The sequence below is a fragment of the Homo sapiens genome, chromosome 17 (genome assembly GCF_000001405.40).
Source record: "Homo sapiens chromosome 17, GRCh38.p14 Primary Assembly".
Classification (NCBI taxonomy): domain Eukaryota; kingdom Metazoa; phylum Chordata; class Mammalia; order Primates; family Hominidae; genus Homo; species Homo sapiens.
In genome coordinates this window covers 19,205,873-19,224,013 of record NC_000017.11, presented here as the reverse complement: position 1 = coordinate 19,224,013, position 18,141 = coordinate 19,205,873, and the positions used below count along the sequence as shown (strand labels likewise).

At 51.3% G+C, this 18,141-nt stretch overlaps 1 long non-coding RNA gene and 1 pseudogene across 1 annotated transcript, besides 2 other annotated features; both read right to left on the bottom strand.

The window, feature by feature from the left end:
• Positions 1–405: 405 nt before the first annotated feature.
• Positions 406–8,384, bottom strand: LOC388436 (uncharacterized protein ENSP00000382042). Its single transcript, NR_160286.1, has 4 exons — positions 8,205–8,384; positions 4,539–4,632; positions 4,222–4,380; positions 406–1,765 (listed from the first exon to the last, which is right to left on the bottom strand). It is a non-coding gene; the product is annotated as an uncharacterized protein ENSP00000382042 (long non-coding RNA).
• Positions 8,525–9,054: an enhancer, noted in NCBI's record as "H3K27ac-H3K4me1 hESC enhancer chr17:19118273-19118802 (GRCh37/hg19 assembly coordinates)". NCBI's record gives its function as "activates a minimal SCP1, AML or CMV promoter by ChIP-STARR-seq in primed H9 embryonic stem cells {active_cell/tissue: H9 hESC(primed)}" and the evidence as "EXISTENCE:reporter gene assay evidence [ECO:0000049][PMID:30033119]".
• Positions 9,055–9,583: an enhancer, noted in NCBI's record as "H3K27ac-H3K4me1 hESC enhancer chr17:19117744-19118272 (GRCh37/hg19 assembly coordinates)". NCBI's record gives its function as "activates a minimal SCP1, AML or CMV promoter by ChIP-STARR-seq in primed H9 embryonic stem cells {active_cell/tissue: H9 hESC(primed)}" and the evidence as "EXISTENCE:reporter gene assay evidence [ECO:0000049][PMID:30033119]".
• Positions 13,437–14,983, bottom strand: KYNUP3 (kynureninase pseudogene 3; annotated as a pseudogene).

The window sequence follows — 18,141 nt, the reverse complement described above, 5'->3', positions numbered from 1 at the left end:
GACAGAACGAGACTCCATCTCAAAAAAAAAAAAAAAAAAAAAAAAAAAAGAATGTGGCCGGGCGCGGTGGCTCACGCCTGTAATCCCAGCACTTTGGGAGGCCGAGGCAGGTGGATCACCAGGTCAGGAGTTCGAGACCAGCCTGGCCAATTTGGTGAAACCCCGTCTCTACTAAAAAATACAAAAATTAGCCAGGCATGGTGATGGGCGCCTGTCCCAGGCTGTTTTTATGTTATGTGGGGATGAGGCACTGACCCTGTGGGCCGGGATCTCTCTGGGGACGCTTCCCTTGCTTTTTGTCTACACTCCTTAAGGCAAACTACTTGGGAGGCTGAGGCAGGAGAATCACTTAAACCCGGGAGGCGGAGGTTGCAGTGAGCTGAGATCGCGCCACTGCACTCCAGCCTGGGCGACAGAGCAAGAATCCATCTCAAAAAAAAAAAAAAAAAGTAACAAGACTCTTAACAGCTGTGGAGATCTGTGCCTATTCTGAGTGCTTCTCCACTACTTCCTGATACTGATTTAGCTCTGTGTATATATTTGTTGAAGTAATGCTTAGATCTTAGTTGTATTCATCCAGTGCCCTCCCAATCATGTTTTGTGTGGAATAGCAAATCACTTTCTGCTTGTATTCCAAAAATGTTGCAGAAAGACTTGCCACCCTGCTGGGGACTGTCCCTGCCCCCTGACCACTTCTGGCCTGCCTTACACTCGATTATTTTGGGCAAAAAGTGCAAATCAAGACTGAGATGTCAGGCCAGGTGCAGTGGCTCATGCCTGTAATCCCAACACTTTGGGAGCCGATGGATCACTCAAGCCCAGGAGTTCAAGACCAGTCTGAGTAACATGGCGAAAAAAACCTGTCTTTACAAAAAGTAAAATAATTAGTGAGGCGTGATGGCATGCGCACACCTGTAGTCTCAGCTTCTCGGGATAGTCACAGCTACTTGGGAGGCTGAGGTGGGAGGATCACCTGAGGCCAGGGACACAGGTACATCAAGGCTGCAGTGGGCTGTGATCACACCACTGCACTCCAGCCTGAGTAACAGAGTAATACCCTGTTTCAAAAAAAAAAAAAAAGAAAGAAAGAAAGAACAAACAAAGAAAAAAAACAAAAAGGAAAAGGAAAAAGAAAGAGAGAGAGAGAGAGAGAGATAATCCAGGACTTTTTTTGAAGGGAGAGGGAAACAGGACTGTCTGACACGCGGGAAAATTGCTTGAATTCTCCAGCCTTCCCATTTGGATGCTTTTCTCTTTGCGTGAACACAGCCATAAGCTGGCTCGTTATAGAGGCATAGGCAGTGGTTGAAAATACAGGTCCTAGCAACAAGGAAGTCTGGGTTTGAATCCAGACTCAGCCACTTTCCAGCTGTGTGACCTGGGAGAAGTCACTGTTCCTCTCTGAGCCTGGAGCTACCTGCATCACTACCCTGAACTGATGAATGGAAAGCACTTGGTACAAAATCCAGCACATACTTGGCACACATAACTCACAGCTCGGTGTAATTAGAAGAATGCCAGGAGGACTGGCCTGCACGCTGGAAGGGGCTCTAGACAAGGCTGACCATCAGGATCCACTGGTTGGTCCAGAGATCTCGGAACAGACTGGTTCTCCCCGCCGCTTCTGCCTCCCACTCACCTCCACCCGTTCATGCAACTGTAGTTTTCTTAGCCCCTGAAACCGGGTTGGGGCTGCCGCAGGGGCCATCAGGCTGTGAGGGAGGCTGACGCGGACACAGTAGGTAAGAGGCCAAGATGTACAGTCCTGAAAGAGGGCAGGAGGCTGGTGACTCAGTGGGTGAGAAAATGCAAAGGCTGGGGCTATCTTAGCCCAGAAAAGGACAAATTTTTTTTCCCCAAATTATTTTCCTTCTTTTGTCTCTTTCTCCCCTCCCTCTCTCGCTCCTTCCTGCTTTTCTTCCTTTCCCTCCGTTACTTTCTTTAATCCAAAGGAAATTTAAGTGGAGGACATAAAAGCATATGCTGTTATTAATTTTTGCAAATGTCCTTAACTGAGAGGCACTGAGCAGAAAGAAGAACACAATTGCATCTCCATTATCTTCATCTGGGCCACCAGATACCAGCCACCCACTCTCTCAGACAATGGCAGAAAGGACAAGCCAGCCCCCAGGGACCCGGCCCTGCCAGCTTACCTGTTGGCACACCTCCCCTGAGCACTGCAGCCTCACCAACTGTCTGGGGTCCCTGAGACTGCCTGCTCACACTCACCTCTGAGCCTTCCTGTCTGCTGTTCCCTCTGCCTGGAACATCCTCTCCACTCCCCCTTAGACCCCCTCTAGCAGCTGTCCTGGCTGACTGCTAATTGGCTTTAGGATTCAGGGAGGCATCCTGCCTTGGGTGCCTTCTTTGATGGCCACAGATCAAGTTAGGGGTCTTCTCTGGCTGCTTATCCTCATAGCACCTGCTCCCGGATGTGACAGACAGCTTCAGTTTTGTCACCCTGTGGTCCAGCAGCTTTCTGAGGGAGGGCTGGGACCAGCTCTCATTTACCTGTGTCTCTCACCCCTGCAAGGTTCTGGCCACAGCAAGCAATGCCTAAGCACATATTTGTGGAGTAAAGGTATAAAAGACAAGGCATCCCAGATGGGCGTGGTGGCTCAATCCTAGCACTTGGAGAGTCTGAGACGGGAGGATCACTTGAGGGCAAGAGTTTCAGACCAGCCTGGGCAACCCAGTGAGACCCCATCTCTACAAAAAAAACATATTTTTGTTTGTTTGTTTGTTTGTTTGTTGTTTTTTAATTAGCCAGGCGTATTGGTGTGCACCTGTAATCTCAGCTACTTGAGAGGCTGAGGTGGGAGGATCTGTTAAGCCCAGGAAGTTGAGGCTGCAGTGAGTTATCATCCCACCACTGCACTTCAGCCTGGGCAATGGAGCAACACCCTGTCTCAAAAAAAAAAAAAAAAAAAAGGCAAGACATCAAGACATCCCTGGAGGAAGCCACTCTGTAGACCACAGGCTAACAGAGCATGGTTGAGCAGGGAGGAGTTGGGAGCTGCACCCAGCACCTCACACAATGTTATCATGGAGCTGGGGACAGAGCAGGTTCCAGAGCTGGGTTTGAGTCCCAGCTCCTCCGATGATGATATGACACCCCAGACATGTGCAGGGATGTCCTCTAAGCCTCAGCTTCCTCACTGCAATTTGGGGCTCTGTCTCTTTCTGGCAGGGAGTTATTGGGAAGACCAAATGAGATCATGTCCCCCTCCCAAACCCTGCAAGGCCTTTGCGTCACAGTTAGAATGAAGTCTACATATAGCCCTGTCCACTCGCAGCCTGCCTCCCTTCCCCATTCGCACCCTTACACACGGAGCCCCCTCCAACCTCCCCCCCACACACACTGAGCCCTGTGCTCTTTCCTCTGCCCAAATGGCCCTTCCCTCAGACATCTAGATGTCCATCCTCCTTCCCTCAGTCTGCCTCTCGGAGCAGTCTTCCCGACCACTACAACGATGCCTCCCCAACCCCGGCCTGCGTCACTCCCCACGCCCACCCTGCTTTGCAGCATCGCTCCCTGGCTGACATTACATCATGCATTTATTTCTTTGCTTATTGTCTCCCTCCCCTCCATGAGGGCAGGAACCTTCATCTGTCTTGTTGACAGTAGCATCCCTAGAACCTAGCTCAGGCCTGACTCACAGTGTGTGCTCAGTCCACATTTGGGAAACCAATGGAGAGATGAATGGCACAGAGATGCGCTCAGGAACCCAGTTCCCTGACCTCCCATCCAGGCTGCACCCCTCAGGAGTCTAGGTTCCTGCTGATTGGTAGAGTTCAGGACCCAGGGCTGGAAAGTGTCCACCCACAGGGCAGATGGGCCAAGGCCACGTGCTCAAGGTGTGCAGGGCTAGGAGAGGGGGTCAGCCCCAGCTCCCATATGAGGGGCATGTGCCTCGCCTTGCCCCTGCTTTGGCTAGAGGGTACCCTGTTCACCAGAGATGAGCCTAGGCTCTCCCCGGGCCTGGCTCTGGCTTTACCCCAGAGCCCTCCAACTCGCAGACCTCCAGGCAAGGAGGGCTGGGGACCCACCCGTACCAGCCATTTGCCTTTTCTCCAGTAACAGAGCCCAGAGGGGTCCCTGCCTGGGCCCAAAATCACACAGCAGATTGGGGTAGAGCCGGAGAGGACCCGAGACTCCTGTGCCAGCCTGGGCATCCCCTCCACTGCCAGGGAAGGACTGCATCCAAGTCGCATCCGTACCCAGGCCGAGGTGTCCGAGGCCCAGGCTGAAATCCGGTTGCTGCTGCAGAGACCAAGTTTCCAAGGCCTTGTCAAGTGGGCTGTGCCAGACGATCCCCAGGCCTGTCATTGGCTGCTCTTCGGCTCGGACACACCAAACCTCACCAAGCACTTCCATTTCTGAGGGAATAGAGGTTGTGGCTTCCGTCAAGCACCCATTTACCCCACCCTCCTCCTCCTCTTCCTGCAAACTTGAGTCACAGCTGCCCTGCTGGGCTCAGGCCCCAGGGATGTCTGAGTCAGCCTGGCTGGGGTTCCAGTCCTGACACCGCCCTTACCAGCTGGGAGACTCCGGGAACCTCCAACCCTGCTGAGCCTCCACTTCGACATCCGTGAAACAGCCATGAATAAGCAGGTCTCAAAGGTCGACTCCTGTATGCAGGGACACAGCATGCAGTAGGTGCCCAATCATAACAGCAGCACCCACCTGGAGCCCCTTATAGCAGCCCTTCTCCTCTGCACTTCCACATGGCATCTCATTTAACCTTCACCACAACCCAACTAGGAAGGCACCATCATTATCCCATTTTACTGATGAAGAAACTGAGGCCCAGGAAGGTGAATTTACCAGCCAGCTCACAAATGGACTAGTAGATGGCAGTTTGTGGATTGGAGCCCAGAGGCTGTGCTCCTGCCCACACCCTCTCAAATGAGGGCTATAAAATAACACTCTAAGAGCTCTTCCTACGTGCCTGGCAGTGTACTAAGAATTTGAGTCTTCAGTACGTTCAATCTTCACAACAGCCCTATGAGGTGGGGGTTATGAGGAGCCACCATTTTACAGATGGGTAAGTCAAGACACAGAGAGAGGATGTGGCTTGCCACAGACCACATGGCTGGTGAGCATAGGAGCCAAGATTCCAACCCGTTTCCCATCCTGGCCAAGAATAACACTCCTGCTTCTTCATTTCTCCGAAAGAAGCCATGCTGTCTCCATCCCTGGCTGTGACTTGGGCTGCTTGTCCCTTCTCTGCCCACCCACCCACCCCCAGGGCTGTGCCGGGGAAAGAAGGTGGTTCCTGGAGCCCTCTAGCCTCTGAAAAGCATGGCAGTGGCGCAACGTAGAGGATGGGCTTAAAGCCAAAGAAACACAGCTTCTTTTGTTGTTGTTGTTGTTGTTTGGGTTTTTGTTTTTGTTTTGTTTTGAGACAGAGTCTCACTCTGTCCCGAGAGTGCAGTGGTGTGATCCTGGCTCTCTGCAAGCTCTGCCTCCTGGGTTCACGCCATTCTCCTGCCTCAGCCTCCCGAGTAGCTGAGACTACAGGCACCTGCCACCAAGCTCAGCTAATTTTTTGTATTTTTAGTAGAGACAGGGTTTCACCATGTTAGCCAGGATGGTCTCGATCTCCTGACCTCATGATCCACCCACCTCGGCCTCCCAAAGTGCTGGGATTACAGGCATGAGCCACCGTGCCCAGTCTTTTTTTTTTTTTTTTTTTTTTAAGACGGAGTCTTGCTCCGTTGCCCAGGCTGGATGCAGTGGCACGATCTCGGCTCACTGCAACCTCCACCTCCTGGGTTCAAGCAATTCTCCTGCCTCAGCCTCCCGAGTAGCTTGGATTACAGGCGTGTGCCACCACGCCTGGCTAATTTTTGTATGTTTAGGGTTTTGCCATCTTGGCCAGGCCAGTCTCGAACTCCTGACTTCAGGTGATCCGCTCACCTCGGCCTCCCAAAGTGCTGAGATTACAGGCGTGAGCCACCATGCCTGGCCAAGAAACATGGGTTCTAATCCCAATGCCCCCGCTTCCTAGCTATGGGACCTTGATTGAGTCCTGTACCGTGCCTCAGTTTCCCCACTTATAAAAAGAGGTTACTAAAAAGGATGCTTCACTCAAGGGTGTGAAGACCCAGTGAATGAAGTGTTAATAAGAGCTCCACGTATAGCGATGCTGCTGTTCAGCTGCACCAGGGTGGACTCCCTTGACTTGCTGGGAGTTACAATGAGGAAGGAAGGACCGTTAAACCTGTAGGTCTTTCCAGAGAAAGTGCGTTTCCTAAAACCAAATCCTGCCCTTGCTCCAAAACTGTCAGTGGTGGTTTCCCATGACCACGCCACAGTCCCAGGGTCTCCCCTGGCCTTCAAGGCTGGCACAGTCTGACCCTGCCAACGTCCCTAGTGCCACCATCTGTCAGCCCCTCCTTGCTCCTGCTCCTGGTCTGCACATGCTGTTCTCTTTGCCAAGAATGCCATTTCCCCAGCCCCCTGGTCCCGATGGGGAACACCTCCTCATCCTTCAAAGCCAAGCTGGAAGGGAACATCTTTGGAGATGCCGCTTGACCTCCCAGGCAGAAGGGGTCATTCTCCCTGGAGATGTGGTCACGTCATTAACCACACTGGGTTAGAATCATCAGAAGCTGTTCCTGCCTCTTCCGTCAAGCAAGGGGCTCTGGAGGCCAGAAAATGCCTATGAATCATGCCCACACCCCCAGAGCCCAGCATGGGGCGGGCTCAGGTTAGGTCAATCGTGTTTGAAGACTGAATAAATGAATGTCTTCATTTGCTACCCTCAGAAGCCCAGTCCGGAAAAATATTCCAGTGCAAGGTTTTTGGCTTGAATGAGATCCCAAGAATCACCTTCAGGTTGTCAGGAAAATGATACAGGGAAGGGAAGGAGCCAACAAAGGGTATGGGAATGAGCACATAACACTATGGACAGCTGGGGAACCTTGGGCGATGATGCAGAACTGTTTATCACTAACTCTCACCAGGTCAGTTGTGCATCAAGGCTACTCGGGGGATAGCACTTTACAGCCTACTCTAGCACCACGGTGGCCTTCTGGGGCAGGGGCCAGCAGGCTGCAGCTGCTGGATGAAGCCCCCAGGCAGAGTCGCTGGTCCTCAGGTGCTCAAGCTTAGCTGGAAGCCTTCAGGTTGCTGTGCAATGGAATAGTGAGTACCCAGAGGATATGTGCGTGTGTTACAGTGAGTGAGTGAATGAACGAATGAATGGAGAATCAAGAAAAGAGCCGCGTATCTTCAGTCATTGAGCAGACACGGGCCTTCTGCTGTGTGGCCCTGGACGAGCCATCATGCCTCTCTGACCCTGGTTTCCTCTTCTATAAAGCAGGAATGCTAGCCCAGCCTCCCAGGAGATAAAGGGTGGGAGGTCCCCAGAGAGTGAGAAGGGTTCCACCTGGGCTCCCAGACTCAATCTCAGCTCCAGGAAGCAGGACATGGCCCCAGTGAGGGTTCTCTGTGGGTGAAGAAGCCACAGAAGGCAGGCACAGTGCCCTGGTTGGAACCACAGGGGCCCCGAAGCAACCACATCATGGCCACCACAGCCTCCACCATCCCACAGCAATTTCCGCTGCTGCCTCTCCCAGGGCAAGATCTCCCACCAGTGGCTGGCTGTCCCCTCTGCCAGCACCTGCCCCGGGTGGGCCCTGCAGCATGGCCATGGCTGCTGCAAGGCAGGCTGGCAGCTGCTCCTGTGTGCAGCAGCGTGTCTGCTTTGAAAAGCCACAGAGACTCCTGTGGTTAGGGGCTCATGTTACAGTAGCACACGTTCGAATCCCAGTTCTACTACTTGTGACTGTGGGAAAGTAATTTCACCCCAGTCCTCTCTGGTCTCATTGATCAAATGGAACTAACATTCTATTGTCCCCTCTGGTGGTCTCAACTCCAGCAGTTTGTGAGATGGTTGCCTTCACTGTTTTCCCTACTGCAAAACCCATAAGGACACAGTTATCTTGCCTCCTGCCCCAACCCCAGGGTCTTGAACACAGTAAGTGCTCGATAAATGCTTGGTAAATACATGAATTATTGTCTGACCCGCCTTGCTCTTCCAGTCCAAACTTAAATGTCGCCTCCTCCAGGCAGCTTTCCCTGATTCCTTCCCCGAGTTCCCAGAATCTCTTCCAACTCCTTTAACCTCTTTCCTGCAGCTGCCTGGCCTACTGGGTGTGGCCGCCAGTTATCGGACCCCGCACCCTCCACCTACCTTTCCCCAGGTTTGCGCGGGGCCTGCCGGCCTGCCCGCCCGCCCCGAGGGAATGAAGGGCTGGAAGGAAGGGGAGGGAGAAAGGAGGCGGCGCAGATACATCCAGAAGGGGAGGCGGCGGGGGATTCTCGAAGGCCCGGCCAAGACCCGCAGCCTCAGCAAGCCAAGATGCGAGCAGGGGGCCGGCCGGAAGGAGGCGGGGGAGGGGCGGCCAGGGAGCTGGACGCTAGCGGGCGGACGGGCGGGGGCGGCGGGGGTGGCGGGAGGGTTGGGGGCGGGGGCCTGGTATTTCCTGAGGCCCTTCAGGAAATGCTCTGGGCCGCCCCTGGGCGGGATCGGCGGTGGGATGGGTCTGGGAGGGATCCACAGGCTCCTTCCCTGCGCTGCCCTGGACTCTCTGGCGCGCTGTCTCTGCGGGCCCTCTTCCCCGTCGAGGAGGCGCTGCTCAAGCCCCATTTCACGGAGGAAGAAACCAAGACTCAGAGAGGGCCACCGGGGTCACAGTCTCTCCTGCACAGTTCTGCGGCTGCGCCAGCGCCGGCCCGCTCCCTCCACGTCCCCGGCCCCTGTCAGGGCTGCGGCAGCCGCAGAACCCCCGGGCCGGGCTCCCTATGGCAGGGCCAGGGCGGAGGACTGGGAGACGGGGCGGGAAGGCGAGGCGGGGCCCGGCGTATCCCACGCACAGACCGCGCAGCGCGCACAGCCCCGGCCCTCAGGGAGAGCAGTGCTGGCTGCCCTGCCCCGGATCGTCCTCCCCTGCCTCGGCCCGGACACGGCCAGGCAGGACCCCGCGACACATCCGACGCCCCACCTCACACTCGGGACCCTGAGACACTCACTGTTCACCTAACGACTCGCTCCCTCCTCCGCTGACGGAGGAGTCAGTCCATCGGGACTGGATGGGCTCCGTGTGCTCGAGTTCAAATCCTGCCTCACCACCCGCTGGCTGGCGCTTTTCTTGTCTAAGAAGAGCACCGCAGTTCCCTCTGTGTGGTGGGGATAACAGCACAGCCTGCCTCAGAAAGTTGCAGTGAGAACTAAATGCGTTCTGCTGGGCGCGGTGGCTCAGGCCTTAATCCTAGCACTTTGGGAGGCCGGGCCTGAGGACGGCTTGAGGTCAGGAGTTCGAGACTAGCCTGGTCAACATTGTGAGACCCCCCCCCCCCCCGTCTCTACAAATTTGTTTTTTTTTGTTGTTTGTTTGTTTGTTTTTTAGCCGGAGTCTCGCTCTATCGCCCAGGCTGGAGTGCAGTGGCGCGATCTCAAGTGAGCGATCTCAGCTCACTGCAACCTCTGTCTCCCGAGTTCAAGCGATTCTCCTGCCTCATCCTCTCGAGTAGCTGGGACTACAGGCGCGTGCCACCACGCCTGGCTAATTTTTTGTATTTTTGCTAGAGACGGGGTTTCACCGTGTTAGCCAGGATGGTCACAATTTCCTGACCTCGTGATCCGCCCGCCTGAGCCTCCCAAAGTGCTGGGATTACAGGCGTGAACCACCGCGCCCGGCCTACAAAATATTTTTAAAACGCGTCGATCAGTATAAAGCGCTGTGCCTGGCACATCCTGTGCTCAATCTGCTATTGTGACAAAATCGTGCTCAGGCCCCTGCCACCTGCAAACAAAGTCTCTCTCTCTTTGACATTTTCCCACCACCGTTTCAACCTGCGCAGTCTCTCCTTTTCTCTCTCCTTCTGAATTTTAACAAATATCCCTCTTCTGTAAAGTGGCTGAAAAAAAAAAAAAAGGAAAACAAATCACAATGGCTTAGACAAATAAGGGTTTATTTCCCCTATCACTGTGAACCCGGAGACCAGCCATGGCTGGCATTGTTTCCCCAGCCCAGTGATGGCAGGGCTGACGTCCTCTGTAATGCGCTTGGCGTTTCCCCCTTGTTTACAGCGTGGCTGATGCTGCTCCTGGCGTTGCATCTGCCTCCGCATTTAAGACAGAAAGGAAAAGGAATGGTTACTTTCAGGGTTAATTGAAAGCGTTTGTCACTTTCGTCAATAATTTCCCAGGCACCCCGCCCCCCTCACCCCCCACCCCCACCCCTGCCACACACACATAATGAGATCTAATGAGACTCCTTAGATGTCATTGGCCAAAACTGTGTCACATGGTCACTCCCAGCTGCAACAAAGGCTGAGAAGGTAAGTAGTTTCTCTTTTCCAGCCTCCACAGTGGAAAGCAGCAGGGAAGAGGGGAATTGGGAATGGTACACAAGGATCAGTCAGCTATTATAATAGTGTCTACCACACCTTCCCCCTCCGTCTTCTTCCAGCCCCTACACTCCCCAGGACCTGCCTTCCAGCCACCCCTGACCTCCTCCTTCATCCAGGGGCCACCTGTTTCCATTTCTTTTGGGATATCAGAAGCTCAGAACTCTGGGGCTGCACTTTTACAGGGTAGCAATCAGATGACGCTGAGTAGAACCGCATCTTTCTTTTCTTTTCTTTCTTTTTTTTTTTTTTTTTGAGACAGAGTCTCACTCCATCACTCCAGTCTGCACACTAGGCTGGAGTGCAGTGGTGTGAACACTGTAGCCTTGAGCCCCCGGGCCCAGGTGATCCTCCTACCTCAGCCTCTCAAATGGCTGGGACTATAGGTACATGCCACCATGCTCAGCTAATTTTTTTTGTTTATTTTTTTGTAGAAACAGCATCTCTTGCCAGGCGCGGTGGCTCACACCTGTAATTCCAGCACTTTGGGAGGCCAAGGCAGGTGGATCACAAGGTCAGGAGTTCGAGACCAGCCTGGCCAATATGAAACCCTGTCTCTACTAAAACTACAAAAATTAGCCAGGTCTGGTTGTGGGCACCTGTAGTCCCAGCTACTTGGGAGGCTGAGACAGGAGAATCGTTTGAACCCGGGAGGCGGAGGTTGCAGCGAGCCGAGATCACGCCACTGCACTCCAGCCTGGGTGACAGAGTGAAACTCTGTCTCAAAAAAAAAAAAAAGAAAAGAAAAGAAAAAGAAACAGCGTCTCTTACTCTGTTGCCCAGGCTGGTCTCAAACTCCTGGTCTCAAGCGATCCACACACCTTGGCCCCCCAAAGTGCTGAGATTACAGGTTTGAGCAGCGCACCTGGCTTTCCATACTCAGATTCTGAAACACAGATCTCATCGTATCACTCCTCTGGCTCAAAATCACCCTTAATAATTGGCTCTACTAGAGCCCCATTTCCCTATACTCCCTGCCTTTGAATATCTCACTGTTGCAACACTGAAACACTTAAAGAATCTCCTCTGCTTTCTCTCTGGTTGCTTCTAGGATCTCCTCTTTGACTTTGGTGTTCTATATTTTCACTACAATATGTCCAGACATGAATTTCTTCCTACCTATCTTGCTTGGGATTCATTGGATCTCTAGAATCTATGCATTTGGTGGTGCTTATTAGATATGGAAAAAAAGTCAGACTTCATGTTTTCAAATATTGAATTTGTCTCGTTTTCCCTTCTCTGTCTGGAACTGCTACCTATGTTAGCTCTTCCTGTTGTATTCTCCCTGGCTCCTAACCACTTTTTTTCTTTGTTTTCTCCTCCTCCTCTTCCTCCTCCTCCTCTTCTTCTTCGTCTTCTTCTTCTTCTCCTCTCCCTCCTCCTCATCCTTCTCCTTCTCCTCCTCCTTCTTCTTCTCCTTCTCCTTGCTACTGCTGCCACCTCCTCCTCCTCCTCCTCCTCCTCCTCCTCCTTCAGCTTTCTCAGGTTGAATTCTTCTTTCCCCCCTGCCCCCATTTTCCATTTATTTTTCTTTCTGGGTTGAATTCTGGATAATTTCTTCAAATCCATCTTCCAGATCATGAATTCTCTATTCAGCTTTGTCTAAACTGTCGTTTAAACTCTCCATTGAGTTTTTAATATGTTACCAGGTGTTAAATTTCTAGAAGCTCCATTTATTTCTCCTGCACATTTGCTTAGTTCTTCTCATTCCTCACCCTTTGCTCATGTTGCTCCATCTTCTCCCACCTCTTCTCCTGGCAAATTCCTATACAACCCATTTCTTTCCATCCCCAGGGAGCTTTCCCTGACCTCCAGGATGGACTGGGGCTTTCTTGGGCCCTTCAGTCCCTGGGACTCCTTTGTCACAGCACTGATCACCTTCAGCCATGATTGGCTGGGTCTGGATCTGGATCTGCCTCCCCCCCTCAGACCTGTGCTTCTAATAAGCAGGGGCCATATCTGCATCCTCTCTCAGGGATAAGTACAGGTGGTTTTCAATAAACTTGTATAAAATAAAAGCAATTTCCTTAGCCCCCCCATCACTCCTTAGTCTTACTTGTTGTTTCATTTACTTATTTTTCTTTTCTGTAAAGTATATTACTTACTGCCAGCTACATGCAATCAATTGTAAAATACTTTCAATAACTAAAAATTGAATAATGGTAAAAAAAAAAAACACACATCAGCTTTCAGTATAATTTGCTTAAATTGTTCTAGAAAACACTGCTAATTTTTGTTTCTGCAGAGTGAAGTACAGAAGTGAGCAGACTGATAAATTTTTTTTTTTTTTTTTTGGAGACAGGGTCTCACTCTCTTGCCCAGGCTGGAGTGCAGTGGTGCCATCACAGCTCACTGCAGCCTTGATCTCCTGGGATCAAGTGATCCTCCTGCCTCAGCCTTCTGGGTAGCAGGGACTATAGGTGTGTGCCACCATGCCTGGCTAATTAAAAATACTTTTTTTTGTTTGTTTTTTTGTAGAAACAGGGTCTCACTATGTTGTCCATGCTGTTCTCAAACTCCTAGGCTCAAGTGATCCTCTGGCTTCGGCCTCCCAAAGTGGTGAGATTACAGGTGTGAGCCACCACACCCAGCCCAGATTGATAAATTTATAAACATCATGGAAAGAATGATAGAAAGGAACTGGAGCCACTTGAATGACATTTGGATTCCACTTGTCATAAACCACTCCTCTTTTTTCTACCTCTTGGAAAACATCTTTCTTTGGAACAGAAAAATGTTAGTGTCAGCTGGCAGCCCTGATCCTCCATATGGGATGGAGTAATGGTCACCTCCAGGTCACCATTGGCTTCTTAGATTCTGCTTTATTTTTGCCATAGCAGTGCTAGATCAGGTATTCCAGATAACCAGTCAGCAAAATAGATTTTCTCCACAATGCTTTAATCGCTGCCTGCCTAAAGATCTCTAAACTGTAAGAAACAGACCAACAAAATGGGAGGATTTGAAATTTGGAATCCACTAACCCCAGGGATTAACTGCAGTTGGTTATCCATCTCAAATCTGGTGCTGAGTTCACAGCCAAACCACCCCAGCAGCACAGCTTTAATCATACGGGCATGCTTTTCATGGAAAAAGTACCTGCCAGACCTCCTGCTCCTGCATTCAAATTATTGTGGGAACACCAGTGGGCAAAGTCAACTCTTCTGTCACGTAAGTGAGTTCAGCATTTCCAACTGTACATGCTAGATCAAGCCAGCAAAACATCCCTTCACTTGTCCAGCTTTCGTGGTAGCAGGTATATTAAAGAGCTGCCTAGTATAAAAATGCAGCCCACTGAACAGGATTGCTGTAATTGAGCCTCCTCCCTTCTCAATTGCTTCAGGGATATCCTTTATTTTATTTTATTTATTTATTTATTTTTCTCAGATGGAGTCCTGCTGTGTCACCCAGGCTGGAGTGCAGTGACGCTATCTTGACTCACTGCAACCTCCACCTCCTGGGTTCAAGTGATTCTCCTGTCTCAGCCTCCTGGGTAGCTGGGATTACAGGCATGCATCACCACACCCAGCTAATTTTTCTTTTTTTTTTTTTTTTGAGACGAAATCTCTCTCTTGTCCCCCAGGCTGGAGTGCAATGGCACGATCTCAGCTCACTGCAACCTCCACCTCCCGGGTTCAAGCGATTCTCTTGCCTCAGCCTCCAGAGTAGCTGGGATTACAGGCGCCTGCCACGACGCCCAGCTAATTTTTGTACTTTTAGTAGAGACGGGGTTTCACCGTGTTGGCCAGGCTGGTCTCAAACTCCTGACCTCTGGTGATCCACCGGCCTCGGCCTCTCAAAGTGCTGGGATTACAGGCATGAGCCACCGCGCCCGGCCAATATCCTTTATTCTTAAGGTTTCCTCCCCCGTCTTGGCTTTATAATCCCCTTTCCTCAATGTTAACTCCATGGAGTCGTAGCTGTGACTCAACAGTATAATGATTAAAAGAGAAAGCTTTGGCTTCTATAAGAATTTTATACCATTTGGTATAGGCTTAAACAATAACTGGACTAAGGCTGGGCGCGGTGGCTCACACCTGTAATCCAAGGAGTTCGAGACCAGCCTGTGCAACATGGCAAGACCCCATCTCTACAAAAAAATACAAAAATTAGTCTGGCGTGGTGGTGTGTGCCTGTAGTCCCAGCTACCTGGGAGGTTAAGATGGGAGGATCACCTGAGCCCGGGAAGTTGAGGCTGCAGTGAGCTGTGATTGTGCCACTGCACTCCAGCCTGGACAACAGAGTGAGACCCTGGGTAACAGTAGAAGATGTAGATTAACAGTCAGCGCATTCACTAGGGCTATTTCTTTCTCGTAGGCTCCTATAGTCCTTCTGTAGGCCTACAATACTCTCATCTCTGTATCCCAAGGATGCTGCCTTCTTCGTGACCATAGGCTCCCATTTTGCCCCACTCAACTAGCTCTTCTTCAAGATCTGTTTTAACCATTTTTGGTTGAAGGCCAAGAGGATTTTCCAGGAAATAGATAGCATTTTCATCCTTATTCACTAAAGATAAATCAACTGGAGGCAGATCCTGCATTTTGGGGACATAAAAATACTCCCCAGCTGGGCACGGTGGCTCACGCCTGTAATCTGAGCACTTTAGGAGGCCGAGATGGAAGGACCACTTGAGGCCAGGAGTTTGAGAGCAGCCTGGGCAACAAAGCAAGACCCCCTCTCTGGAAAAAAATTAAAAAATTAGCCGGCATAGTGGTGCAAGCCTGTGATCCCAGCTACTGAGGAGGCTGAGGTGGGAGAATCCCTTGAGCCCAAGAGTTCCAGGCTGCAGTGAATCAAGACCGCACAACTGCAGTCAGCCTGGGTGACGGAGTGAGGCCCTGTCTCAAAAAAATTAAAAACAAACAAACAAAAAAACCTCCCTGAAGTGCCTTAGCTTATGTTCCTGAACTAGGTGGAAACTGTCCCTGTCATCTGCTTGGCGGCATTTGAGTTCAACCATCATGCTCTGCACTGTGACAGCTGACAAATTGTTCTCGGCTAGAATTCTTATGTGATCCTCAGCTCCCAGAACCCCTCAAGAAACTTCTCAAGCATTCTTTACAAAGGTATAGGCAAGACCACCTCAAACGACAGTGCCTCCACTCAGGGCTCCTTCCCCTAATCAGACTCAGGTAAACAAACACTTTCTTCCATGTACTTGCTTTTAACTTCATTAATTCACTTCCCCATCTGTAAATTCATTTCCTCATTCATTCATTTATTCATTATTCACTCGATAAGTCTTTTCTTTTCTTTTCTTTTCTTTTTTTTTTTGAGACAGAGTCTCGCCCTGTCGCCCAGGCTGGAGTGCAGTGGTGCAATCTCGGCTCACTGCAAGCTCCACCTCCTGGGGTCACGCCATTCTCCTGCCTCAGCCTCCCGAGCAGCTGGGACTACAGGCACCCGTCACCACACCTGGCTAATTTTTTTGTATTTTTAATACAGACGGGGTTTCACTGTGTTAGCCAGGATGGTCTCGATCTCCTGACCTCGTGATCCACCCACCTTGGCTTCCCGACGTGCTGGGATTACAGGCGTGAGCCACCGTGCCCAGCCAAGTCCTTTCTTTTCTTTTCTTTTTTTTTTAGAGATGGAGTCATGCTCTGTCGCCCAGGCTGGAATGCAGTGGCGCAATCTCGGCTCATTGCAACCTCCACCTCCTGGGTTCGAGCCATTCTCCTGCCTCAGCCTCCCGAGTAGCTGGGACTGCAGGCGGATGCCACCATGCCTGGCTAATTTCTTTTGTATTTTAGTAGAGACGGGAGTTTCACCATGTTGCCCAAACTGGTCTCAAACTCCTCAGCTCAGGCAATCCGCCCACCTTGGTGGATTACAGGCTTCAGCCACTGCGCCCAGCCTCAATACATCTTTTCTTTTCTTTCTTTCTTTCTTTTTTTTTTTTTTTTTCTGAGACAGAGTCTCGCTCTGTCGCCAGGCTGGAGTGCAGTGGCAGAATCTCAGCTCACTGCAAGCTCCGCCTCCCGGGTTCAAGTGATTCTCCTGCCTCAGCCTCCCAAGTAGCTGGGACTACAGGCGCCCGCCACCACGCCCAGCTAATTTTTTTGCATTTTTTTAGTAGAGACAGGGTTTCACCATGTTGGCCAGGATGGTCTCAATCTCTTGACTTCATGATCCACCCACCTCGGCCTCCCAAAGTGCTGGGATTACAGGCGTGAGCCACCACGCCCGGCCTCTATAAGTCTTTTCTAAGCACAACATAGGTTGATGCCAGCAGATACGGGATGAACTAATGAGTGACAGAGGCAATCTGCTGTAAGAAATTCTAACAGCCAGGAAGGCTTCAAGTTGGGGTGATACTGGAGCAGGGTCTGGAAGGAGGAAAGTTGGGGAAAATGCTGGGATCCCACAGCAATGTGAAGAGGGCCCCAGTGGGAGGTCGCCAGCCCATGGGACGCAGCCCGTAGGACCTTAATGCTCCCCAGCATATGAGTAGTGCATGTTCTTCCTCTCTTTGCCATGCCTGTCAGGAAGCTCAGAGCTCAGCTTGGTGCAAAGGTAGCAACTGTTGTTTGCCAGAGGTTTTGTAGTTATCTCTGTTTTGTCGCCCAAAATCTTTGACCTTTACATTGTCTATGTCTCTTATGGAAAACTTGAAATTGATGGAGTAAAATTAATAATAATAATAAAGACCTGATTCTCAGTAAGTGATGGATTCAGGACGTAAATGCAGCTCAGAGTCCAAGAGTTGTAGACTGACACCAGGCTTGTATTAGCTATCACTGCAATAATGCCACATAACAAACCACCCCAAAACTCAGTGGTTTAGAACAATCATTTAATTCCCCCTGATGCATCTGCAGGTTAGCTGAAGGTCAGTTGGTCTTGGCTGGGTGGCTCTGCCTCAGGCTAGGCTGGGATACAGGCTCTAGGCTGGGCTCTGGCTGTTCCATGTGTCTCTTGGCGGGGCGAGGCTGAAGGGCCGGCAGCCATTCAGGGGGACAATCTTCTCACAGCAGAAGCCAAGAAGACAGCTCCACTGTGGAAGTGCACCTCAAGCCTTTGGTCTTGTTATAGCCACTGCTATCCCATTGACCAAAGCAAGTTACATGGCTGAGCCCAGAGTCAAGAGACAGGGAGTGCACTCTGCCCACCTAGAGGCCGTGGCCAGCGTGAGGGGCCAATGATCAATGCCACATGCCATTTGCATCATCCAGTCTGGTCTCCACCCCTATTTCTCAGATGGGTACCCCAGGTGGATCAGTGTGGGACCAGGCAGGGTGCCCTGACTTCCCATTCCCTTTTCACAGCCCCGAGCAGGATCTCATATCACCTGGCTGATCCTCCTGGGGTGGGACCAATTCTGGAAACTGCAGTTGCAGGTGGAAGAACCTGGACTTCGGAATCACAAAGACCTGAGTTCTCTGCTCCCCAAGGCCAGCAGTGAGTCCCTGAGCAAGTCCCACCTACAAAGGAGGAAACTGAGGCTCAGAGGGGTTTGGCGACACATAGTAAGTGCTCCATCAAAAGTGGCCATTCAGGCTGGGCATGGTGGGTCATGCCTATAATTCCGGCACTTTGGGAGGCCGAGGTGGGTGGATCACTTGAGCTTAGGAGTTCAAGACCATGGTAACATGGTGAAATCCCCCCTCTACAAAATAAAAAACTAGCCAGGCATGGTAGTGTGGACGTGTAGTCCCAGCTACTCAGGAGGCTGAAGTGGGAGGATCACTTGAGCCCAGGAGATCAAGGCTGCAATGAGC